The sequence below is a fragment of the Homo sapiens genome, chromosome 1 (genome assembly GCF_000001405.40).
Source record: "Homo sapiens chromosome 1, GRCh38.p14 Primary Assembly".
NCBI lineage: Eukaryota > Metazoa > Chordata > Mammalia > Primates > Hominidae > Homo > Homo sapiens.
In genome coordinates, this window is record NC_000001.11 from 207,662,323 (window position 1) to 207,684,400 (window position 22,078).

The window sequence follows — 22,078 nt, forward strand, 5'->3', positions numbered from 1 at the left end:
TTTCTTGGAGGCTTTGTTCATTTCTTTTTATTCTTTTTTCTCTAAACTTCTCTTCTCACTTCATTTGATTCATTTGATCTTCCATCTCTGATACCCTTTCTTCCAGTTGATTGAATCAGCTACTGAGGCTTGTGCATTCGTCACGTAGTTCTCGTGCCATAGTTTTCAGCTCCATCAGGTCCTTTAAGGACTTCTCTGCATTGGTTATTCTAGTTAGACATTCATCTAATTTTTTTTCAAGGTTTTTAATTTCTTTGCCATGGGTTCGAACTTCCTCCTTTAGCTCAGAGTAGTTTGATCGTCTGAAGCCTTCTTCTCTCAACTCATCAAAGTCATTCTCCATCCAGCTTTGTTCCTTTGCTGGTGAGGAGCTGCGTTCCTTTGGAGGAGGAGAAGCGCTCTGATTTTTAGTGTTTCCAGTTTTTCTGCTCTGTTTTTTCCCCATCTTTGTAGTTTTATCTACCTTTGGTCTTTGATGATGGTGACATACAGATAGGTTTTTGGTGTGGATGTCCTTTCTGTTTGTTAGTTTTCCTTCTAACAGTCAGGACCCTCAGCTGCAGGTCTGTTGGAGTTTGCTGGAGGTCCACTCTAGACCCTGTTTGCCTGGATGTCAGCAGCGGTGGCTGCAGAACAGCGGATACTGGTGAACTGCAAATGCTGCTGCCTGATCTTCCTTTGGAAGTTTTGTCTCAGAGGAGTACCCGCTGTGTGAGGTGTCAGTCCGCCCCTACTGGGGGGTGCCTCCCAGTTAGGCTATTTGGGGGTCAGGGACCCACTTGAGGAGGTAGTCTGCCCGTTCTCAGATCTCAAGCTGCGTGCTGGGAGAACCACTACTCTCTTCAAAGCTGTCAGACAGGGACATTTAAGTCTGCAGAGGATTCTGCTACCTTTTGTTTGTCTGTGCCCTGCCCCCAGAGGTGGAGCCTACAGAGGCAGGCAGGCCTCCTTGAGCTGTGATGGGCTCCACCCAGTTCGAGCTTCCCGCAGCTTTGTTTACCTACTCAAGCCTCGGCAATGGTGGGCGCCCCTCCCCCAGCCTCACTGCTGCCTTGCAGTTTGATCTCAGACTGCTGTGCTAGCAATGAGCAAGACTCCGTGGGCGTAGGACCCTCTGAGCCATGTGCGGGATATAATCTCCTGGTGTGCCGTTTGTTAAGCCATTGGAAAAGCACAGTATTAGGGTGGGAGTGACCCAATTTTCCAGGTGCCATCTGTCACCCCTTTCTTTGACTAGGAAAGGGAATTCCCTGACCCCTTGTGATTCCCAGGTGAGGCGATGCCTCGCCCTGCTTCGGCTCATGCACAGTGCGCTGCACCCACTGTCCTGCACTCCCCAGTGAGATGAACCCGGTACCTCAGTTGGAAATGCAGAAATCACCCGTCTTCTGTGTCGCTCACACTGGGAGCTGTAGACTGGAGCTGTTCCTATTCGGCCATCTTGGCTCCTCCCTCCTATTTTATTCTTTTCAGAGTGATCTGTTGACACCTTTACTGAGTTTGTTCCTACTGCAGGACTCTTTGATTTTCTGGAGTGCAACCAGTTTGAGTCTTTTGATGTAACACATTTAAACAGGGAAATTTCTGCTGTCTGCAGAACACGACCTATATTTCTGTCTCTTCCCTGCCTGCAGTCTTCCACACCTCATAATGTTATTCTTTTTTTCTCTTTACTGGGCAGTTTTATCTGGCAATAGCAACTAAATTTATAGCAACTGAAAGGCAGGAAAAGTCCTTATTTACTGAGATGAAATAGAGGACTTTTTGCAGGGACTCCTGATCAGCAGCTGTGCTTATGACTGGAGAGATTATTTTGATATGATGGAAGGGATTATTGTCCTGATTTCAGCACTGCTATCTCTGGTTTCACTTTCCTTGCAGCAGAAGCAAGAGACTAATTGTAGGAAGAGCATTAGCCTGCGTAGACTATGCTTAATTAACATCATTTCTGTGGTCTTCAGTTTCCATTTAGTTTAATGAGATTGTTGAACTCAAATCTCAATCACTGGATTCTAATTTGTTTATATATTTCCTATCTCCCTAATATTTTAAAGGATCTAGGGGAATTATGCACGTTAACATAGTAATTAGAATACCATTTTATAATTCCTATAAAAGCCTGTTAACTGGTAGCCTCCTTAGTTGAGTCCTGTAGGTTTTGAGGGGCAGGAAGAGATGGTTTTTTTAGTGGACTGATATATGAGCAAAACAAGATTGCATATGAATTTAATACTCAATAAGGTATCCAGGCTTACTCACATGCTCCTAGTGGGTATATGTACTAATACTAAGTTTGTTGATACAGTCTTTTGAAAGAGTTAACTATAAGCATTTCATAAAGTGTTTATAAAACACTGATCTAGCTTAGTGTTTGAGAGCAGAGGAGAGAATTGCTTGTGAGAAAAAGTTTATAAAAAAGAGAAACTACAGGGGTATTTTTTGAAAAATGACAAATCAAAATTCCTCATGGGATTGTCAGTCATTTTTTGTCATCAGTAAGAGGAAGAATAAATAGCAAGATAATGATGTTAAGGTAGATCTAAATGTGCTAATGTGAAAAAATGTCCAGGAAGTCCTAAGCGGAAAAGAGGAAGATGTAAATTATGTAGTATAATACCACTTAACAGTTTTTTAAAAAGATACATATGTTTACCCCAAGCACATTACTTTTATGATTTATTACTTGTTATCTTCTAGGATTTCCATTATAAAATATGAAACGTAGTGAGCATTTTTTTGGTTTTTTTTTGAGACGGAGTCTTGCTCTGTTGCCCAGGCTGGAGTGCAGTGGCATGATCTCGGCTCACTGCAAGCTCTGCCTCCCGGGTTCCCGCCATTCTCCTGCCTCAGCCTCCCGAGTAGCTGGGGCTACAGGCACCCGCCACCATGCCAGGCTAATTTTTTTGTATTTTTAGTAGAGACAGAGTTTCACCATGTTAGCCAGGATGATCTTGATCTCCTGACCTTGTGATCCATCTGCCTTGGTATCCCAAAGTGCTGGGATTACAGGCGTGAGCTGTAGTGACCATTCTTGTACATGCATCCTTACATACTTGTGCAAATATATATGTAGATTAAATTATTTTTTTTTCTAGTTGGAGCCTTGCTCTGTCACCCAGGCTGGAGTCCAGTGACATGATCTCGGCTCACTGCAACCTCCATCTCCAGGGTTCAAGCAATTCTCCTGGCTCAGCCTCCCGAGTAGCTGGGATTACAGGTGCGACACCATGCCAGGCTAATTTTTGTATTTTTAATAGAGATGGGGTTTCACCATGTTGGCCAGGCTGGTCTCGAACTCCTGACCTCGTGATCCACCCGCCTCAGCCTCCAAAAATGCTGGGATTACAGGCGTGAGCCACCATGCCTGGCAAAGAATGACACTGGGTGTATTAAAAAGTATGATAAGTGACATGATCACAGTAGACATTTCCTCCAATAGAATATTGGGAGAAAGCCTAATGGAAACCAATGAAAAATAAGAAACACACGTAGCCTTTGGAACATAGCCTTTCTCACCTAGTGGAGGAGGAGCTGAGACTTGAGTAAGACAGTCAGATGAAGTAAGGCAGTATTCGGGAATGTTTGTGTGAGCTAAGACTATACATCCTGAGTGATACACGTGTGTTGGACCATGTATACATGGGTCTCCATTAGTGAAGCCGCACTGAGTAGAGAATAGTTTTCTACCTAAAGCATCTTTACTCCATGATGAATCAGTTATGCATGGAGGAGAAAGAGCTAACACGTGTACTGAAATATCTGCTACATTATCTACTCAACCCTAATTCTACTCACCTTTCTACAGCCTTTGATATTTAGAGTTACTCCGTCCTCACACAACTCTTTCCAACTCCAGCACTGGAAACAATTGACTCCTGTCTCTACCAAACTGTACGTCCCAGATTCTTGTCTTAGGAGCCATAGAACTCCAAAGGTTTATGGCTATAACTGTGTTTTGACATAATTGGCTTTCTTTATAGTCCTACGTGATTTACTTATGCATTACAAAAAACAGCTCTGAGAAGGGATTCATAATTCTGACCAGCCAGGCAAAGGTGTATACATGATACATAAAGATATTAAGAACCCCTCATGACTATTCACAATAGCAAAGACATGGAATCAATTTCAATGCCCATCAGTGATAGACTGGATAAAGAAAATGTGCTACATATCCACCATGGAATACTATGCAGCCATAAAAAAGAATGAGATCATGTCCTCTTCAGGGACATGGATGGATCTAGAGGCCATTATCCATTGCAAACTAACGCAGGAACAGGAAACCAAATACTGCATGTTCTCACTTATAAATGGGAGCTGAATGATGAGAACACATGGACAGATGTGGGGGAACAACACATACTGGGATCTATTGGAGGGTAGAGGATAGGAAGAGGGAGAGGATTAGGAAAAATAACTAATGGTACTAGGCTTAATACTTGGGTGGTGAAATAATCTGTACAACAAACCCCCATGACACAAGTTTACCTATGTAATAAACCTGCACATGTACCCCTAAACGTAAAAGTTAATAAAAGAACCCCTGCATGGATATGGATCATGTATTTCCATTCAGATCTTCCTTTCATTAATTTTACATGCCCCTCTTCAACAGTCTCATTGATTCCTGTGATTTTGACCATCTCCCATCCATTATCTTTTACAAAAGTCCTCTTGTGCCTTTTTTGGAAGTCCATTTTCATAATCAACAAATTACCTATATTCCCAATCTTTTCCTAAACATTCTCACACCTCCTGGCCTTCACTAAACCCCATCTGTCCCATGCCCACATCTTTCTCAGTTTAAAAAACAACAACAATGAAAAACTTTCGCTGCTTAACCTTGATGGCGCTATCCCTTCCCCACCCAATGGTTTCCTATTGCTACTGTAACAAATTATCTTGTGGTTTAAAACAACACAAATCTATTCTTTCACATTTCAGGAGATCGTAAGTCCACAGTGAGTCTTACAGGATGAAAACCAAGGTGTTGAAAAGACTGACTCCTTCTGAAAGCTCCAGTGGAGAACCTGTTTCTTGCTTCTAAGGGGCACTAGCATTCCCTGGCTCATGGCAGCAACACTCTGAGCTCTGTTTTCATCATTGCCTTCTGGTCTATTACCTTCCTCTTATAAGGATCCCTGTGATCATATCAGGTTCACCTAGCTACTCCAAGATACTCTTTCCATCTCAATATCCAACTGCAAAGTCCTAAACTGCAAGGTAACACTCACAGATTCTGGGATGTAGGATGAGGACATTTTGGGGGAACATTATTCAGCCTACCACGCACTCCTCCTTTTCTCTCATTCTTGGATTGTTTTTTATTGTTATTTTTTAAATTGGCTCATAATGATTGTACACATTTATGGGATACAGCAAAGGAAACAACAGAGTGAAGAAAAAAACCTACAGAATGTGAGAAAATGTTTGCAACCTATGCCTTTGACAAGGGGTTAATATCCAGAATATCTGAGGAACTCAAACAACTCAGCAAAATAAAACAAATAATATTATTTAAAAGTGGGCACAAGACCTGAACAGACATCACTCAAAAGAAGACATAGAAATGGCCAACGAATATAAAACAAAATGCTCAACATTCTTAGTCATCAGAGAAATACAAAATAAAACCAGAGAGAGATATCACCTCACCCTAGTTATCAGAGCTCTTATCAAAAAGATAAAAGATAACAAATGCTGCTGAGGATGTGGAAAATAGAGACCTCTTATACACTGTTAGGGAATCCAAATTAATATGGCCATTATGGGAAATAGTATGGAGGTTTCTCAAAAAATTAAAAGCAGAACTACCATATGATCCAGCAATCCCACTACTGGGTATATACCCAAAAGAAAGGAAACCAGTATGATGAAAAGATATCTGCACTCTCACATTCAATGATGCACTATTCACAATAGCCAAGGTATGGAATCAACCCAAGTGTTCACCAATGGACGAATGGATAAATAAAATGTGGTATATATACACAAGGGAATACTATTCAGCCATAAGAAAGAATGAAATCCTATCATTTGCAGCAACATGGATGAATCTAGGGGATATTATATTAAATGAAGTAAATCAGGCACAGAAAGACAAATCCTGTATGATATCAGTCATGTGCAATCTAAAAAAGCTCATCTCATAGAAGTAGAGAGTAGAATACTGGTTACCAGAGGTTGGGGTAGGGAGAGACAATGGGAGATGGAGAGAGATTGGTTAAAGGGCACAGGGTCACAGATACATAAGAATAAATTCATCCTTGAATACTTAACCCTCTGCCCTACATCTGTCACTCCTACATCCATATTCATTGCTAATCCTGGGGCTAACTCTTGATTGCTTTCTTCTCACTACTAACCTTAAGAAAGGAAGTAACCAAAATCCAATACATGAGCAACTGTTCATTCCATCTCCAATATCTTTGTTAATTGTCCACTTTATCCACCCAGTCAGGGCCACCATCAAACCTCACTTGGATGTCAGCAAAAGCTCCCTGGCTGGTCTCCCCTCTCCATTATTGCTTTAATCTAGTCTCCATACTATACACAGATTTACATTTTTTGAATATATATCTAATTGTCCTTCCCTTTTTAAAAATCTTACAATGGCATGACATCTCAATTCACGATAAGGAAATTGGTTCTTCACATTCCCTGTGCACTGTACACATCGCCTGCAATTGCCCTTCAACACAGAGAGCAGGCATTTCATTAGCTGACCTTCCCACACACATTCTTGCAAAGAGGAAAAGTCAAGCAGGGTGTTTGGAGGTGAGTTGCCATCATCCACCGCCTTTGTCTGGAAGGAAGCGCAGGGCCTCACACGCGGGATCCATCGGAAGCCCAAGCATTGTCAAGCTCTGCTGCTGCACCTGGGTCAGCAAGGTGGGCTCTGCCAGCGAAACTCGTTAGAAACAATGCAAATGGGGAGTAAACATGGCCTTGCCCATGAAGGGGAAGCTGGTCAAAAGCATTTTGTCCCGGAACCCCGCAGCCCTCCCCATGCTCTGGGCGCGGAGCACAAGGATTGGTCACTCCTCTTTGCACTGCGCTTTTCCTCTTATTTCAGTTTTCTTCGAGATCAAATCTGGTTTGTAGATGTGCTTCGGGAGGATGGGGGTCTCTTCTCCGAGAAGCCGGGAGCCTGTTGGGCAGCCGGCGCCCGGTCTCCCCTTCTGCTGCGGAGGATCCCTGCTGGCGGTCGTGGTGCTGCTCGCGCTGCCGGTGGCCTGGGGTGAAACGCTGGGGGGCGTGGGGAGGCGCCCGGGCTGACGAGGCACCCAGGGCCCCGCAGAGAACTCGCGTGCCGCGCTGGGCTGCGCTGCTCTGCGCGCCCGGGTCCAAAGGCAGCGCGATGGGTGGGCTGAGCGCGCTACCTGGCAGGGCGGCGGGTCTGGGATCCTTCTGCGCACTGGAGACCCTCGCTGCCTCTAGGTAAGCGTGGAGTTCCCACGTGCAGGGGCTTAAGTCGTGACGAGCGCAGTGGAAGGCGCAGATGCTGAGCGGGTGCCGCACGAAATTCCTTGCCTTTGTGTATTCACAGCCTCGGCTGGCTATAGCCGAGCGTGGCGTCGATCCTAGCGAAACGGGACTTGGGGATCCGACAAACCTGAGTTCTGGTCCTAGAAACTTAACTGTGAGGCAAGTTAGCACACCTAAGTCTGTTTGCTCTTCTGTAAAATGGGGACACTGGTATCTCTGCATTGTGGAGTTGCTGCCTCAGTGGCATAAAGCCTGTCGAGTATCTAACACAGGGCCTGTCCCCGAGTCCATTTCTATCCCCCAACCGTTACCTCTGCACTTTGCTCCCAGTGGTGTTTAGACAAGCAGTCCTAGGGATGTCCTGCATGGAACTGTCCTCGTCCCCTACCCCAAGCCACCACCGCCATCATCATGATGCACTTGATTGACAGCATACTTTAAGACAGATGCATGCCAGGCACTTGGGGATTAGAAGAGCAAGGGAAGCCCCAGAACATGCAATGTAACCGCTGCAGGTAGAAGGGACAGTAGATATGTTTACAATTTGCATTTTAGTGATGTGTTTAGTACAAAATAAAGCCTATTATAACTACTATGGAAATTTTGAGGCCACATCTCTTCCTTTTTTTAACTTCAAGTAGGTAAACATCTTCAGTTAGAACCCTTCTATTATTAGTTTTGGGCTCCCCAGAAGTCTTCTTGGTTGCCTAGACTCACTGGCAACATCTCACTTGAAGTGACAGTTTTGGTTGTTTTGGTCCTGTCTCTTCCTGACAACTCAGGGTTCGTCCTTCTCTGCCACTAGACGTTTTGCATTCATTATTTGAGTGTTCCTTCTTCTCTAAAAGAGTAAGGGGAAAAGAAAACCAAGTTCCCCCAAGAGTTGTTATTAATATTTGATCTCCTTAGGCACCAGAAAGTAACCTGTCTAGTGAAGAGATATGATAAAACTTACAATTTTATTTTTAGGAGAGAAGCATGCCCAGTAAGTTAAGCAATCTGTTGTCAGTGCTTACTGAGGTTCTCACAATAACCTCCAAATGTGAAACAGCCTAAACTAAACTACCTAGAAATTTTGTTGCTGGAGTAATTTCAATTTTAAAATGCTTATGGATGCTTCCGGTGTGCACAGTCCTTTGGAATTTAAAAGAAATGTAAGAGAAAGAGCTATGCTCCCAAGGTGTATGCATATAGAAGTAGGTGGTGGAGTTTTATGAAATCTACTTTTTAGGAAGCCAGTGTTCTGGTTTTTCCAGACTCTGCTACTTACCAACTGGGGCTGTGGACCCAGCAACTTAAGTCACATCACTGACCTTCAGTGTCCACGTGTATAAAATGAGCATGACTGACATCCTGATTTCTGAGAGAGGTATTTTGAAAATCAGGTGGGGTAGTGCATGTGACAGCGTTTTGTAATCTGAAAACCCTCATGCATGTCTGAAAAACCATGACTAAGCAGTCGTGCAAGACTGCAGGATCACTGAAAAGGGAGAAATCTCAACTCCTATGATCAGGAAAGGGTGAGGGAAAAGAGTATGACTTTACTAGCACTTGAAGAGTGAATCCAGAAACAGGTTGCATAGGACAGTTTATGGGAATATTTATATATAAAAAATAACAGAGGAACTAGGATTGTTTTGTCATTAGAGGGTACTCCTACTACCCATGAAGTGGTATGGTGCTATTTGAAAGAGAACTTAGATTAGCTGCAAATAGATATTGCAAACTTAGGGCAACTACTGAAAAAAGTGAAAAAAAGAAGTACAATTGATATGCCAGTAAGGAAGAGTGAATTGCATCATATAAAATGCTCAGTTAAAACAATAAACGGGGCCAGGCGCAGTGGCTCACACCTATAATCCCAGCACTTTAGGAGGCAGGGTAGATAACTTGAGGTCAGGACTTTGAGACCAGCCTGGCCAACATGGTGAATACCCATTTCTACAAAAATCCAAAAATTAGCTGGGCATGATGGTGGGTGCCTGTAATCCCAGCTACTCAGGAGGCTGAGGCAGGAGAATCTCTTGAACCTGGGAGGCAGAGGTTGCAGTGAGCCGAGATCATGCCACTACACTCCAGCCTGGGCGAAAGAGTGAGACTCTGTCTCAAAAATAAAAATAAAATAAAATAAAGGTCAGGAAAAGAATGCAAGACAAAAAATAGAAACAGAGAACAAGAGAAGAAAGACAACAAATAGAAACAAGTAACATATTAAACCAACTATATCAACCATCATTTTGAGTGTCAATGATCTAAAGGCACCAATTGAAACAGATCATCAGAGTCGATCAACAAACAAAACTCAACTATATATTGTGTACTCCCTATAAGACCATTTTAAATATAGACAATATATATTAAAAGTAAATGGGTAAAGATATACCATGCTAATGCTAGTCACAGAAAGCAGGAGTAGCTGTGTTAATTTCAAACACAGCAGACTTCAGACGAAGGAAAATTATTAGGAATAAAGAGGGTCATCATATAATGATAAAGGGGCTAATTCTCCAAGAAGGCATAACAATATCTAATATGTATCCATCTGACAGAGAAACAAAATATGTGGGGCAAAGCTGATAGAACTGCAAGGAGAAATAGATGAATGCACTATCATAGTTGGAGACTTCAGCACCTTTATCTTTTCTGATATCAGAAAAGATAAAGGTGCTGAAGTCTCTTTATCAGAAATGGGCAGATTCAGCAGGCAGAAAATCCATAAGGACATACTTGAACTCAACAGCACCATCAATCCACTTGGATATAATTGACATATACAGACGACTTCATCCAACAACAGCAAAAGACATTCTCTGGCTCACATTCATGGGGATAGACCACATTGTGAGCCATAAAAATAGTATGCTAATTAAGCTTTACCAGGGAGTGTTTAACATAGGGTAGACTCTGGCGCCCTCACATGGTCCTCATGTAGGATCTGATTTGGTTTTCCCTGCTAGGTAAAGGTGCAAGATAGAAAGAAGGGTAATTCCAATTTGCTTTCTGTGCTTTGTGATGTATTCTGGTTTACATATGCTCGGATGAGTAGATGTATGATTTATATTATCTACTGTTATCTAAAATAAACTTCACATTCGGACAGGCAACATCAAAACTGTCCTACACAGAAATACTGGGTGAAGATCACTTAATAAGACGAACTCCAGAAAACAAGAAAATGGCAGAGTTGACAATCCCTCTCACCCTCCCTGCAAAGACACATGTATACAAATTTCTTTTGTCAGAGACATTAAGAGAAACAAATGCTGTCAATCTAATCACAACTGATCACAACTTGATGAAACCAAAAAATCTAGAAAGTATCATGAAGACAGTTGAAATACAGCTTTACATTCACTATTGTGACCAGAGGAACTCACTGTGGCTGTTTTTTGTCCCCTTAGATGTCAACTAATGATTGTGTTAAGTGATCATGATTAACAGAGCATTTAAAATGTTTATTTTATCTGTTTTACATTTCAAAAATTTATATTTAGGCATATAATTTATATTTGTGTACATATATAATTTATTACTTTATATTTTTGAAAGTGCATGCTCTTTTTTTAAGCTGACAGACATGCCTAAGCAAAGCAAGTGCAAGTCTGTTCCTTAAAGGGTAAGTATGCAGAATGGAAAGCAGAGTGTACTTCGGGTTGACAGCTCATATTTGCGCAGACATGAAAGTGATGATGTGTTAATTGTGCGTATAGCACAGAATAAATCAGCTTGCTTTGAATGGAAGATCTGAACCAGGAGTGCATGAAATTGGGCTGAGTCATACAAGAAAAAACCCGAAATGAGATAACAAAATATACCCACTAGAATGGCTAAAATGGAAAAGATTGACCAAACCAAGTGTTGGCAATAAAGTGGAGAAGCTGGAATTATAATATACTGCTATTCGGCAGGTAAAATTACAACATAACTTTAGAAAATAGTTCAACCGTTTCTTAAAACCTTACACACACACCTGTCATATTACTCAGCATTTTACTCTTAGGTTTTTACCCAAGAGAAATGAAATCATATGTCCACAAAAAGACTTGTACATGAATTTTCATAACAGTTTTGTTTGTAATAGCCAACGAGTGGGAACAATCCAAATGTCCCTCAACAAGTGAATGGATAAACTAAATTAACATATATTTATACAATTGAATATTACCCAGCAACAAAAGGAAACAATTTGTATATGTGCAGCAACCTAGATAGAACTCTAATTATGCTGTGTGAAGGCTAAAACATTTAAAACAATCGGAGTGATTTCCTTTATATGATAGGATATAAACGAAGTGATTCGGGTTATATGAAATTTTAGAAAGTCAAATCAATCTGTAGTAAGAGAAAACAGGTCGAAGGTTGCCTAGAGAAGGAAGTGGATGTTTGGATGCATTACAGAAGGACATGAGGGAACTGTGTGGGGTGAAGGGTATGATGGAAATGTTCATTGTCTTCATTTGGTGATGGTTTCACAGGGCATATATATAAGTAATCAAATTGTACACTTTAAATACTCATCAACCATTTTATGTAATACATCTTAATAAAGCTATAAAAACTTTTTAAACTTATGGTAGGTCTTGAGTTTATGGAGTTTATATTAATATATTTATCATAAGAACCAGCCACAAATTGAGGGATTGGTAATAAAGAGGGAAAGGAAACTACATCAAGCATTCTTTGTTGAAGGCTCATATGTTCCTTTTTTGGGCTACTACGCAAATTTATATTATTACCTATACTATGCATATACTACTATAAAGGTAAGAATATTAGGTAATTAAGGGGAAGGAACTTCTTTCTTTCCAAGAATGGTTCATTATATTTGCTTTGTTGCTTTGATCTAGTTCTAACCTCTCATTGCAAGCTTTGTTGTGACGTTTACCCTCTCTTAATACAGCTTTTGGCGCTAGGAGAGCTCCACTTGGAATCTCTTCCTTTGTCTAGCATCAATGCATAAGACACATATCAAAATTGTATTTCATCCCACATATCAACTAGAGGAAAGGTGAATGCATAACACTGAAAGTCACGGAACTGTTTTATTCGTGTTTTTTTTTTTATACAGTGGTTCTCAAAGTGCTGTTATCTATCCAAATCAGCTGTGAAACTTTTAAAAAATATAGACTCCTGGGCTCTAACCCAGACCCACTAAATCAGAGATTCTGGGGACATAGCGTGGACTCTTCATTTTTTTTTAAGTTTTATAAGTAATTCTTCAATTATTTGATCATTGCAACAAATATGCATTGAGTGCTTATAACTGAGTGTTAAGCACAAGGACTAGGTATTAATTTAGAAGTACAAAAAACATGTCATCATTTGCCCTCAAATTATACATATCTAATATCTTTTGAGAGAAATAGATACTTCTAAAAGCACACAAAATTAAAAAGCACAAATTGCAACCACAAACAATTATTGATATGAAAGGAAAAGGAAAGGGCCTGACTAGAAATTATAGGGTGGGGCAGAGGGAAGTAGTTTAGATTCCAAATCCCTGAGAGGGTCAGGGAAGGCATCAGACTAGATTGGGTGCGTTCAGGGTGGTATGGCCATAGACAGGCCAGGGAAGGCTTCGATAAGAAGGTGGTATTTTAGCAAACACCTGGAGGAAGAATTGAAGTCATAGCCAAGATAAAAGTGCATCACACAAAAGGAATGTCATAGACAGGGGAAAAATGTGTGTCTTCAGGAAACTGAAAAAGGGGAAAGGGCCACCACACCTTGGTGAGGGGACCCAGTGGTAAGAGATGAAGCAGGAAACATAGACAAGGGCATCTTTGTACAAAGCCAAAAGTTGGTTCTTTTAAGTCTAATAAAATTGACCTCTGGCCTCAATCTACCCAATTAATTAGTGGAAGGTGTGGGAAGGAACAGAAATGAAAACAAAACAAACAAGATATTTCCAAAACTAGAGTAAGATGCTATTCTTTTTCAACAGATATATCTTCTTGATTACATACTGTTTGACTCTGTGATTTTTGTTGCTTTAAATTAAATCTACAAGGCCTTAAGGGGCCTAGCTGAGTCTACTATATAATATGAAATATCTATGAGAAAATACGTCTTCTTTATGGTAAAGTATAGCTTTAGTTGTTGAGCTTTGTTCACTCTTTGTGCTCAAGATTGACGTGGCGACAGACTTCCAACATTGGTGGCTGCTACTGAGGGCCAAAGAGGAGATGTGTACTCCCACTGAATCTGAGTGTCCACTGAGTGTGAAGGTGGATGGTAAAATGCATGAGTGTATCTTACACTCATACTTTACAAGAAAGTATGATAAATGAGGATGGGAGAGAAGCTACAACACAGGCACTTACTGATTAACTAAAATTTGAAGCTGTGAATTGCAGCTTCCCCTTTAGTGAAAGATGATATAAATAGCTTAGTTTTCTTCAAACTAGCAGAGACTTTTTAAATGGATGGATGCTGATTTTTTTTTTAAAAAAAGAGCCCATTTCTAAGGCATGTTTTAAAGCAGGTGTCCTCAACCCCTGGGGCATAAACCGGTACTGTCCGGTGGCCTGTTAGGAACTGAGCAGAACAGTAGGAGGTGAGCGGCCAAGCATTACTGCCTGAGCTCCACCTCCTGTCAGATCACTGGCAGCATTAGATTCTCATAGGAGCAGAAACCCTATTGTGAACTGTGCATACGAGGGATCTAGGTTGCATGTTCCCTATGAGAATCTAATGCCTGATGATCTGAGTGGAACAGTTCCATCTCAAAACCATTTCCCTGCACCCTCCATTCACGTAAAAATTGTCTTCCACAAAACGAGTCTCAGGTGCCAAAAAGATTGGGGACCAAAGTTCTAAAGGAATCAATCTCTTTGCTATTATTGTTATTATTATTGTTAAGATGGAGTCTTGCTCTGTCACCCAGGCTGGAGTGCAGTGGCACAGTCTTGGCTCACTGCAACCTCTGCCTCCTGGGTTCAAATGATTCTCCTGCCTCAGTCTCCCAAGTAGCTTGGACTACAGGCACATGCCACCATGCTCTGCTAATTTTTTGTATTTTTAGTAGAGACGGGGTTTCACCATGTTGGCCAAACTGGTCTCGAACTCCTGACCTCCAGTGACCCACCCACCTTGGTCTCCCAAAGTGCTGGAATTACAGACATGAGCCACCACACCCAGCTCCCTTGGCTATTAGTGAAGTCTTCTTTTTCTTTTTTGATCACATCTATGCAGTATATTTGAGAGAAAGAGGAAGTAGAGTGGGAATTTCAGCAGGGCATGGTGGCTCACACCTGTAATCCCAGGACTTTGGGAGGCAGAGGTGGGCAGATCACCTGAGGTCAGGAGTTTGAGCCTGGCCAACACGGTGAAACCTTGTTTCTACTAAAAATTCAAAAATTAGCCGGATGTGATGGCAGGCGCCTGTAATCCCATCTACTCAGGAGGCTGAGGCAGGGAGAATTGCTTGAACCTGTGAGGCAGAGGATCGCACCACTGCACTCCAGCCTGGGTGACAGAGGGAGACTCTGTCACAAAAAAAAAAAAAAAAAAAAAAAAAAAAAAGTATGGTAATTTCTCCATTAACTTCGATGCTGCTGTGGTCTTGATCCCCAGATCAATGCAATGTCCCGGAATGGCTTCCATTTGCCAGGCCTACCAACCTAACTGATGACTTTGAGTTTCCCATTGGGACATATCTGAACTATGAATGCCGCCCTGGTTATTCCGGAAGACCGTTTTCTATCATCTGCCTAAAAAACTCAGTCTGGACAAGTGCTAAGGACAAGTGCAAACGTAAGTAACTCTGGAGTGGGAACCCCTCTGTTAGTCAAACATCTGTAAGATCTGATTCAATTTGTTCAAATTTTGTAACTGAGTTGCATACAACAATTAGTTTGCTAAGGTGCAATACATATGAGAATTATTCTTGTAGATCATACCTTGTTACTGCTTTGAGTTCCTGGCACCTTCATTACAAGTTTATTTCATGAGAAACCGTCATTGCAGGACATGATTGAGGGAAAACCCCCATTCACTGGGGGTCTCCCATTTTCATGACTAAAATTAAGTAATGAATGACTTGGGACAAGAAAGAGAAGTGGATTAAATAACTAAAAGATGCGACAATCTTGGGCCTTGAGATCTTTGGATTATATCAGTTGAATTGAATTACAGATAATAACGAAGTTTACATTTTTCTGGGAGGCATAATATGGGGATGAAACAGATCTGAAAGGAAAGCTTTTTTTGAAAGGGAGCTGATCCTGAGGCAGTCTGGTGAGTTTCCTCAAGGTAGCAAAATCTGTGGAACCATCAGAACTGCATGTGTTCCTCAGTAAGCTATAGGCAGGTTGAGACCTTATGTACTAAAAAAAAATTCAGTTTACTCTACTTGGCTTCAAATTTCTGTTTCTTTCCTGTAGGTAAATCATGTCGTAATCCTCCAGATCCTGTGAATGGCATGGCACATGTGATCAAAGACATCCAGTTCAGATCCCAAATTAAATATTCTTGTCCTAAAGGGTGAGTTGGCATCTCTTGAACCAACATCTCTTGGTTCAAGGGTTCTAACACAGCCATACTACCTTCTAGTCACATCTCAGAAAGGACAACTAAACTATTACCATCTGCTCTTTAAAGGCTTCAACACAGGTGCTTAGCTCCTGACTGAAATGGACAAAGGTATGACAAGATCAGGGGGAAAATCATCTGTATCCTTGCTGGAAACCAAGGCAGAGCATATATGAAAAGTGTGGCATTCATTGGGTGGGAAGGAAGAAAATGGGGGAAGAGTATAGTCAAAGCACACAATCAGCCTTAACACAGATTAGACATTGCTCAAAGAAAGGGAAGGCCATTGAGCAGCTGTGTGAGAGAAATCTTAATGGTCATAGCACAAATAGTTTGCTAGGGCTGCTGTAACAGAGTACTCCAAAACAGGCGGCTTAATACAAACAAAGTTTTTGGAGTTCTGTTCCGGAGGCTGGAAGTACAAAATCAAGATATTGGCAGAGCCAGAGCCAGATCCATAGCCATGCTCCCTCCAAAACCTGTAGGGATGGATCCTTCTTTGCTTCTTCCAGTTTCTGAAGCCCCAGGCCTTGGCGTGTGGCAGCAGAACTCCAGTTTCTGTCTCTGTCTGTCCTCACATGGCTGTCTTCCCTCTGGGTCTCTGTCCTCCTATGCTGTTCTCTTATCTGTGCATGTCTGTGTCCAAAGTTCTTTTTTTTTTTTTTTTTTGAGATGGAGTCTGGCTCTGTTGCCCAGGCTGGAGTGCAGTGGCGAGATCTCGGCTCACTGCAAGCTCCACCTCCCGGGTTCCTGCCATTCTCCTGCCTCAGCCTCTTGAGTAGGCTGGGACAACAGGTGCCCACCACCATTTTTTTTTTTTTTTTTTTTTTTGTATTTTTAGTAGAGACAGGATTTCACCATGTTAGCCAGGATGGTCTCGATCTCCTGATCTCATGATCCGCCCACCTCCCGGCCTCCCAAAGTGCTGGGATTACAGGCATGAGCCACCGCACCCAGCCCAAAATTCTCTCTTTCAATAAGGACACCAGTCATATTGGATTGGGGCCCACACTAACAACTTCATCTTAACTTGATTGCCTCTGCAAAGACCGTATTTCCAAATAAGGTCACATTAATAGGAACTGGGGATTAAGACATCCATATATTTCAGGGGTGAGGGGAACATAATTCTCATGCATTGCTGGTAGGAATGCAAAATGGCACCATGACTTTGAAAGACATTTTGGCAGTTTTGTATAAAAATAAACATACTCTTAACATATTATCCAGCAGTTATCCTCCTTGGTATTTATCTAAAGGAATTGAAATCTCAGGTTCACACACAAAAAAATCTGCACACAGATGTTTATAACAGCTTTATTCATAATTGCCAAAACTTGGAAGCAATCAAGATGTCCTTTAGCAAGGGAATGGATAAACTGTGGTACATGCATACAATAGAATATTATTCAATACCAAAAAGAAATGAGCTATCAAGCCATGAAGAGACATAGAGGAACCTTAAATAATGAATCTTCTTTCACTATTACTAAGTGAAAGAAGCCAATCTGAAAAGCCTATATAGTATATGATTCCAACTATACACCATTCTGGAAAAGGCAAAACTATAGAGATGTAAAAAGATCAGCAGTTGCCAGGGGTTAGGGAAGAAGGGGATGAATAGGCAGAGCACAGAGGATTTTGAGGGTAGTGAAACTACTCTGTATGATGCCATAACAGTAGGTACATGTCATAATAAATTTATCCAAAGTCATATGATGTACAATACCAAGAGTGGACCCTAAGATAAACTATGGACTTGGGGTGACCATGATGTGTCAGCGTAGGTTCATCAGTTGCAAAAAATATTTACCACCCTGGTGAAAGATGTTTATAATAGGGGAGGCTATCCATGTATAGGGGCAGGGAGTATATAGGAAATCTCTGTATCTTCTGTTCATTATTGCTGTGAACCAAAAACTTGTGCTAAAACACAAAGTCTATTTTTTTTTAAACTACATAAAAGTAAATACACAGGCACATGTGCATAAACAGACACGCACACAGTCGAGTACAGGTAAAACAGGAAATTTGAACAAAACTGGTGGATCATACCTGTCTCAATATCTTGAGTTTGATGTTGCACTATTGTTTTGCAAAATGTTATTATTAGGGGAAAATTGAGTAAAGTGTACCTGGGATCTTTCTGTGCTATTCCCTACAACTGCATGGGAATCTGATTATCTCAAAATAAAAAAATTTTTTTTTTAAGTTACTACTAAATTTCCAAGGGCATGGGCTTCCTACCAAAGAATTGTATATTGTGAAATTAAATCATTCGAACTTAAAACAATTCAAACTTATAGCTGGGAGAACTTTAAATTATTCTGAGCCATGAGAAGACTGTGGCTATGCAGCCTGAGTCATGCAGCAGGCAGCTGTAACTTCTGCCTTTTTATCCTGTGAATAGTTAAAACCAAATGGCGCCAGAGATAAGACCCACTCAGATCACTACGCCTTTTCAGGGAGCAATAATCTTCCTTGGAATGTAGCAATATGTAACCAATCAAAGTGATGTAACTATGCATGGTCCCATATGGAAAATATAATCCTGCTAAAATTTCTCTGTCTCTGCCTATGTAAGTGATACCTTACGTCCTCCACTTTGGAATGCTGACCCCATTCATTTGGAGTTGGTGTCTTCCAGGTGGCTACCCTTAAGCTGTGTGCTCAAATAAACTCTATCCTTAAATATATTTTCTGAATCTCATTATTTAAGGTTAACAATGTGCTAACCTAAACAATTCACAGGATTTGTTTTTTATTCTCATTTTTTCCTAACCCAACCACCTGGTTCAAGGCACATAGATTAAGAAGGAAAATGGAAATGGGACTAATATCCCAGGCTTCACTGTCCCTCTTCGGGCCCTGGGGAGGAGACTCCCAAAAGTCTAGACATGTTCACCCACATCCTGTATGTGGTTTCTGGAAACGAAATGATCATGGCTTTTCCTGAACCATGGCTTAACTTTGTGAATCCACAACTCTCTCTTCCCCAGGAGATCCAAAAAGGTAGGGTAGGATGTAAAGGCTTCAATCTGTTTAAATGGATATGAGAGTCCCTGGCTCTCCTTAAAATAAGTAGCATGGATTTTGTCTCTCTGCCTTACTTCCTCACAAACATTCTGAATGAGAAAAGTTCAAACCATTATTTGTTCAAGTACTTAATCTACTTTGGGACACAAGTTTAATAAATTAAAATATTCTTCTATCTGTTCCCTTTGATCAGTGAACATAAAGTTATCCTTTGACTCATATTTAAAATGTTCAGTACTACAACACTGAACAATAGTATGGAGGAAAAAAAATGCCAATTTAAGTTTGAACTTGCTTCACCATTCCTATCCCAACCCCCATGATTAGAAAATCAAAAAGAACACTTTGAGAAATAACCTCAGTGGGGTCAAAAGCCAGAGTCTCCAGGATGTCTTGTTCTTAAGACAAATAGAAGGAGGTACAAATATAGGATTGCAGACTTGTTTACTTCATTTGTTCTCTATTTGTGTGCATGTGTGTTGGCAGTGCAATTGAGAATGCTTTCATTTTTGGTGGTGTACTAGAAGGCATTAAAAAACAAAATGAGAAGTGGGAATTGAACAATGTGAATACATGGACACAGGGAGGGGAGCATCACACTCCGGGGCCTGTTGGTGGGTGGGGGGCTAGGGGCGGGATAGCACTAGGAGAAATACCTAATGTAGGTGACCGGTTGACGGGTGCAGCAAACCGCCATGGCACATGTATACCTATGTAACAAAACTGCACATTCTGCACATGTACCCCAGAACTTAAAGTATAATAAAAATTAATTAATTGATTAATTAATTTTAAAAAACAAAATGAGTCCAGGCGCAGTGGCTCATGCGTGTAATCCCAGCACTTTGGGAGGCTGAGGTGGGAGAAATCACCTGAGGTCAGGAATTCAAGACCACCCTAGTCAACATGATGAAACCCCGTCTTTACTAAAAATACAAAAATTAGCCAGGCATAGTGGCGTGCACCTGTAATCCCAGCTACTTGAGAGGCTGAGGCAGGAGAATCACTTGAATCTGGGAGGTGGAGGTTGCAGTGACATTGCACTCCAGCCTGGGCGACAAGAGTGAAACTCTATCTCAAAAATAATAATAATAATAAATAACCAAAATGATATCGAAGTCACTAATAATTACAACATAATAGCTACTATAATGTAACAATGTGTCAAGTGTCTGCAGAAGGACCCACTGTTGTCTCACTATTCATTTGATCTCCATTTGGCACTGTTTCGTTGTTTGAATAAAGCTTTATGCTGCCAGGTTTTCCTACATATTTGTAAAACAAAGTTCTCAGCCATTCCAATAACCATGACTGTTACTTGACATTGCTTCATTCATGTATAGTACTATCAAGTTTGAGCCTACCCTCACTATGACTAGTTTGGCCCAACCATCTATCACAACAGAGGGTCTCAGGTGAAGTAAAATAAATGTTATAAATTCTTCCAAATTTATGGCACACTTTGAACAGTTTGAGACATACTAATTGAGAATTGCTAACTTTAACATTTTAAGTATAAAATAAGTGTTCAGTTCTTTTTGGTCAGCTTGGATTGCCTTTGGTTCTAGTTATAAATCATTTTCTTTCTTTCTTTCTTTCTTTCTTTCTTTTTTTCTTTCTTTCTTTCTTTTTCTTTCTTTCTTTCCTTCCTTCCTTCCTTCCCTCCTTCCTTCCTTCTTTCTTTCTTTCTCTTTCTTTCTTTCTCTCTTTCTCTTTCTCTCTCTCTCTCCCTCTGACTCTCTCTCTCTCTCTACCCCGCCCCTTTCTTTCCTACTGACAAGGTCTTGCTTTATTGCCCAGACTGGAGTGCAGTGGCATGATCAACACTCACTGCAGCCTCAATCTCCCAGGCTCAAGCGATCTTCCTGCCTCAGCCTTCTGAGTAGCTAGGACTACAGGAATGTGCCACCATGCGTGGCTTTTTAATAAAATTTTTGTTGAGACAGGGTCTCACTATGTTGCCCAGGCTTCTCTCGAACTCCTGAGCTCAAGCAGTCCTCCTACCTCAGCCTCCAAACGTGCTGGGATTACAGGCGTGAGCCACTGTGAATGGCCTACTTAGATGAATCTTACTGATAAAAGCCCATCCATGCATCCATATATTAATACTTATAAGGCATAGAAATACATACAACAGGACTACATACACACATACATATGTATATATATGACAGCTTCCCTGCACTCAAGAAGCTTGTGTTGTCTTTTAAAAAAATGAAATTTATAGGAAAAACTGTAACTCATCTTTGATTTATATAAAAATGTGTCATAAGATAATAAAAAAGAGAAATCCCATCCAACTGAGAAGGCATGGAAGAGAAAATGACAAAGTCCCAAGAATGTGAAATTTGGGAAGGTGATAGACAATTCTTTGACAAGTGGAAAATGTCCCTCTGAATTCTATAAGAGTGTAATCTCTGGAAGTAGTAATTTAATTGGGTAGTTGACCTGTGTATTTAGAATGTAACATTCCTTATTTTTTGCCTCTAGATACCGACTCATTGGTTCCTCGTCTGCCACATGCATCATCTCAGGCAACACTGTCATTTGGGATAATAAAACACCTGTTTGTGACAGTGAGTTGAAATATGCATTCCTATTTCTTTTACCGATACATTCTAATTTTTCTCTGGAATAATAAAAATCTTAACCGAATTCCTTCTGTGCAATCTGTACTTCACATGGCTGAAGACAGCCATAATGTTCTCAGATATTCCTATGGGGTTCCTGGCAACTCTTTCTTTAAGTTCTTTCTTATCCTGGGATGTGTCTTTTCTAATTCTAGGGGCCTAAATACGTAAAAGGCTTCAAACTTGATTTTACTTCAATAAACTTGAAATTATGTTGGTTCTACCACCTCCAGTATAATAATCATCCTGCTTGGCAAATCAGTAAAGATTTTAAAAATTGATACTCTTCAAGGTTAGCGAAGCTGTGGAAGAACCTGGACTCTCATGTACCACGAGATCAACACATCCTCTTGAAAGGCCCCATGCACTATAAACCTCAGAAGTGGGCA

General features: G+C 40.9%; 1 protein-coding gene across 1 annotated transcript in view; it reads left to right on the forward strand.

Annotated features, from left to right (window-relative positions):
• The window catches only part of CR1L (complement C3b/C4b receptor 1 like), a 78,571-nt gene that overhangs the window by 17,190 nt on the left and 39,303 nt on the right, over positions 1-22,078 (forward strand). Inside the window, exons 2-4 of the mRNA NM_175710.2 lie at positions 15,067-15,246; positions 15,876-15,975; positions 21,550-21,635. Of these exons, the coding sequence (NP_783641.1) occupies positions 15,067-15,246; positions 15,876-15,975; positions 21,550-21,635 (366 nt within the window). The remainder of the gene's footprint in view (positions 1-15,066; positions 15,247-15,875; positions 15,976-21,549; positions 21,636-22,078) is intronic.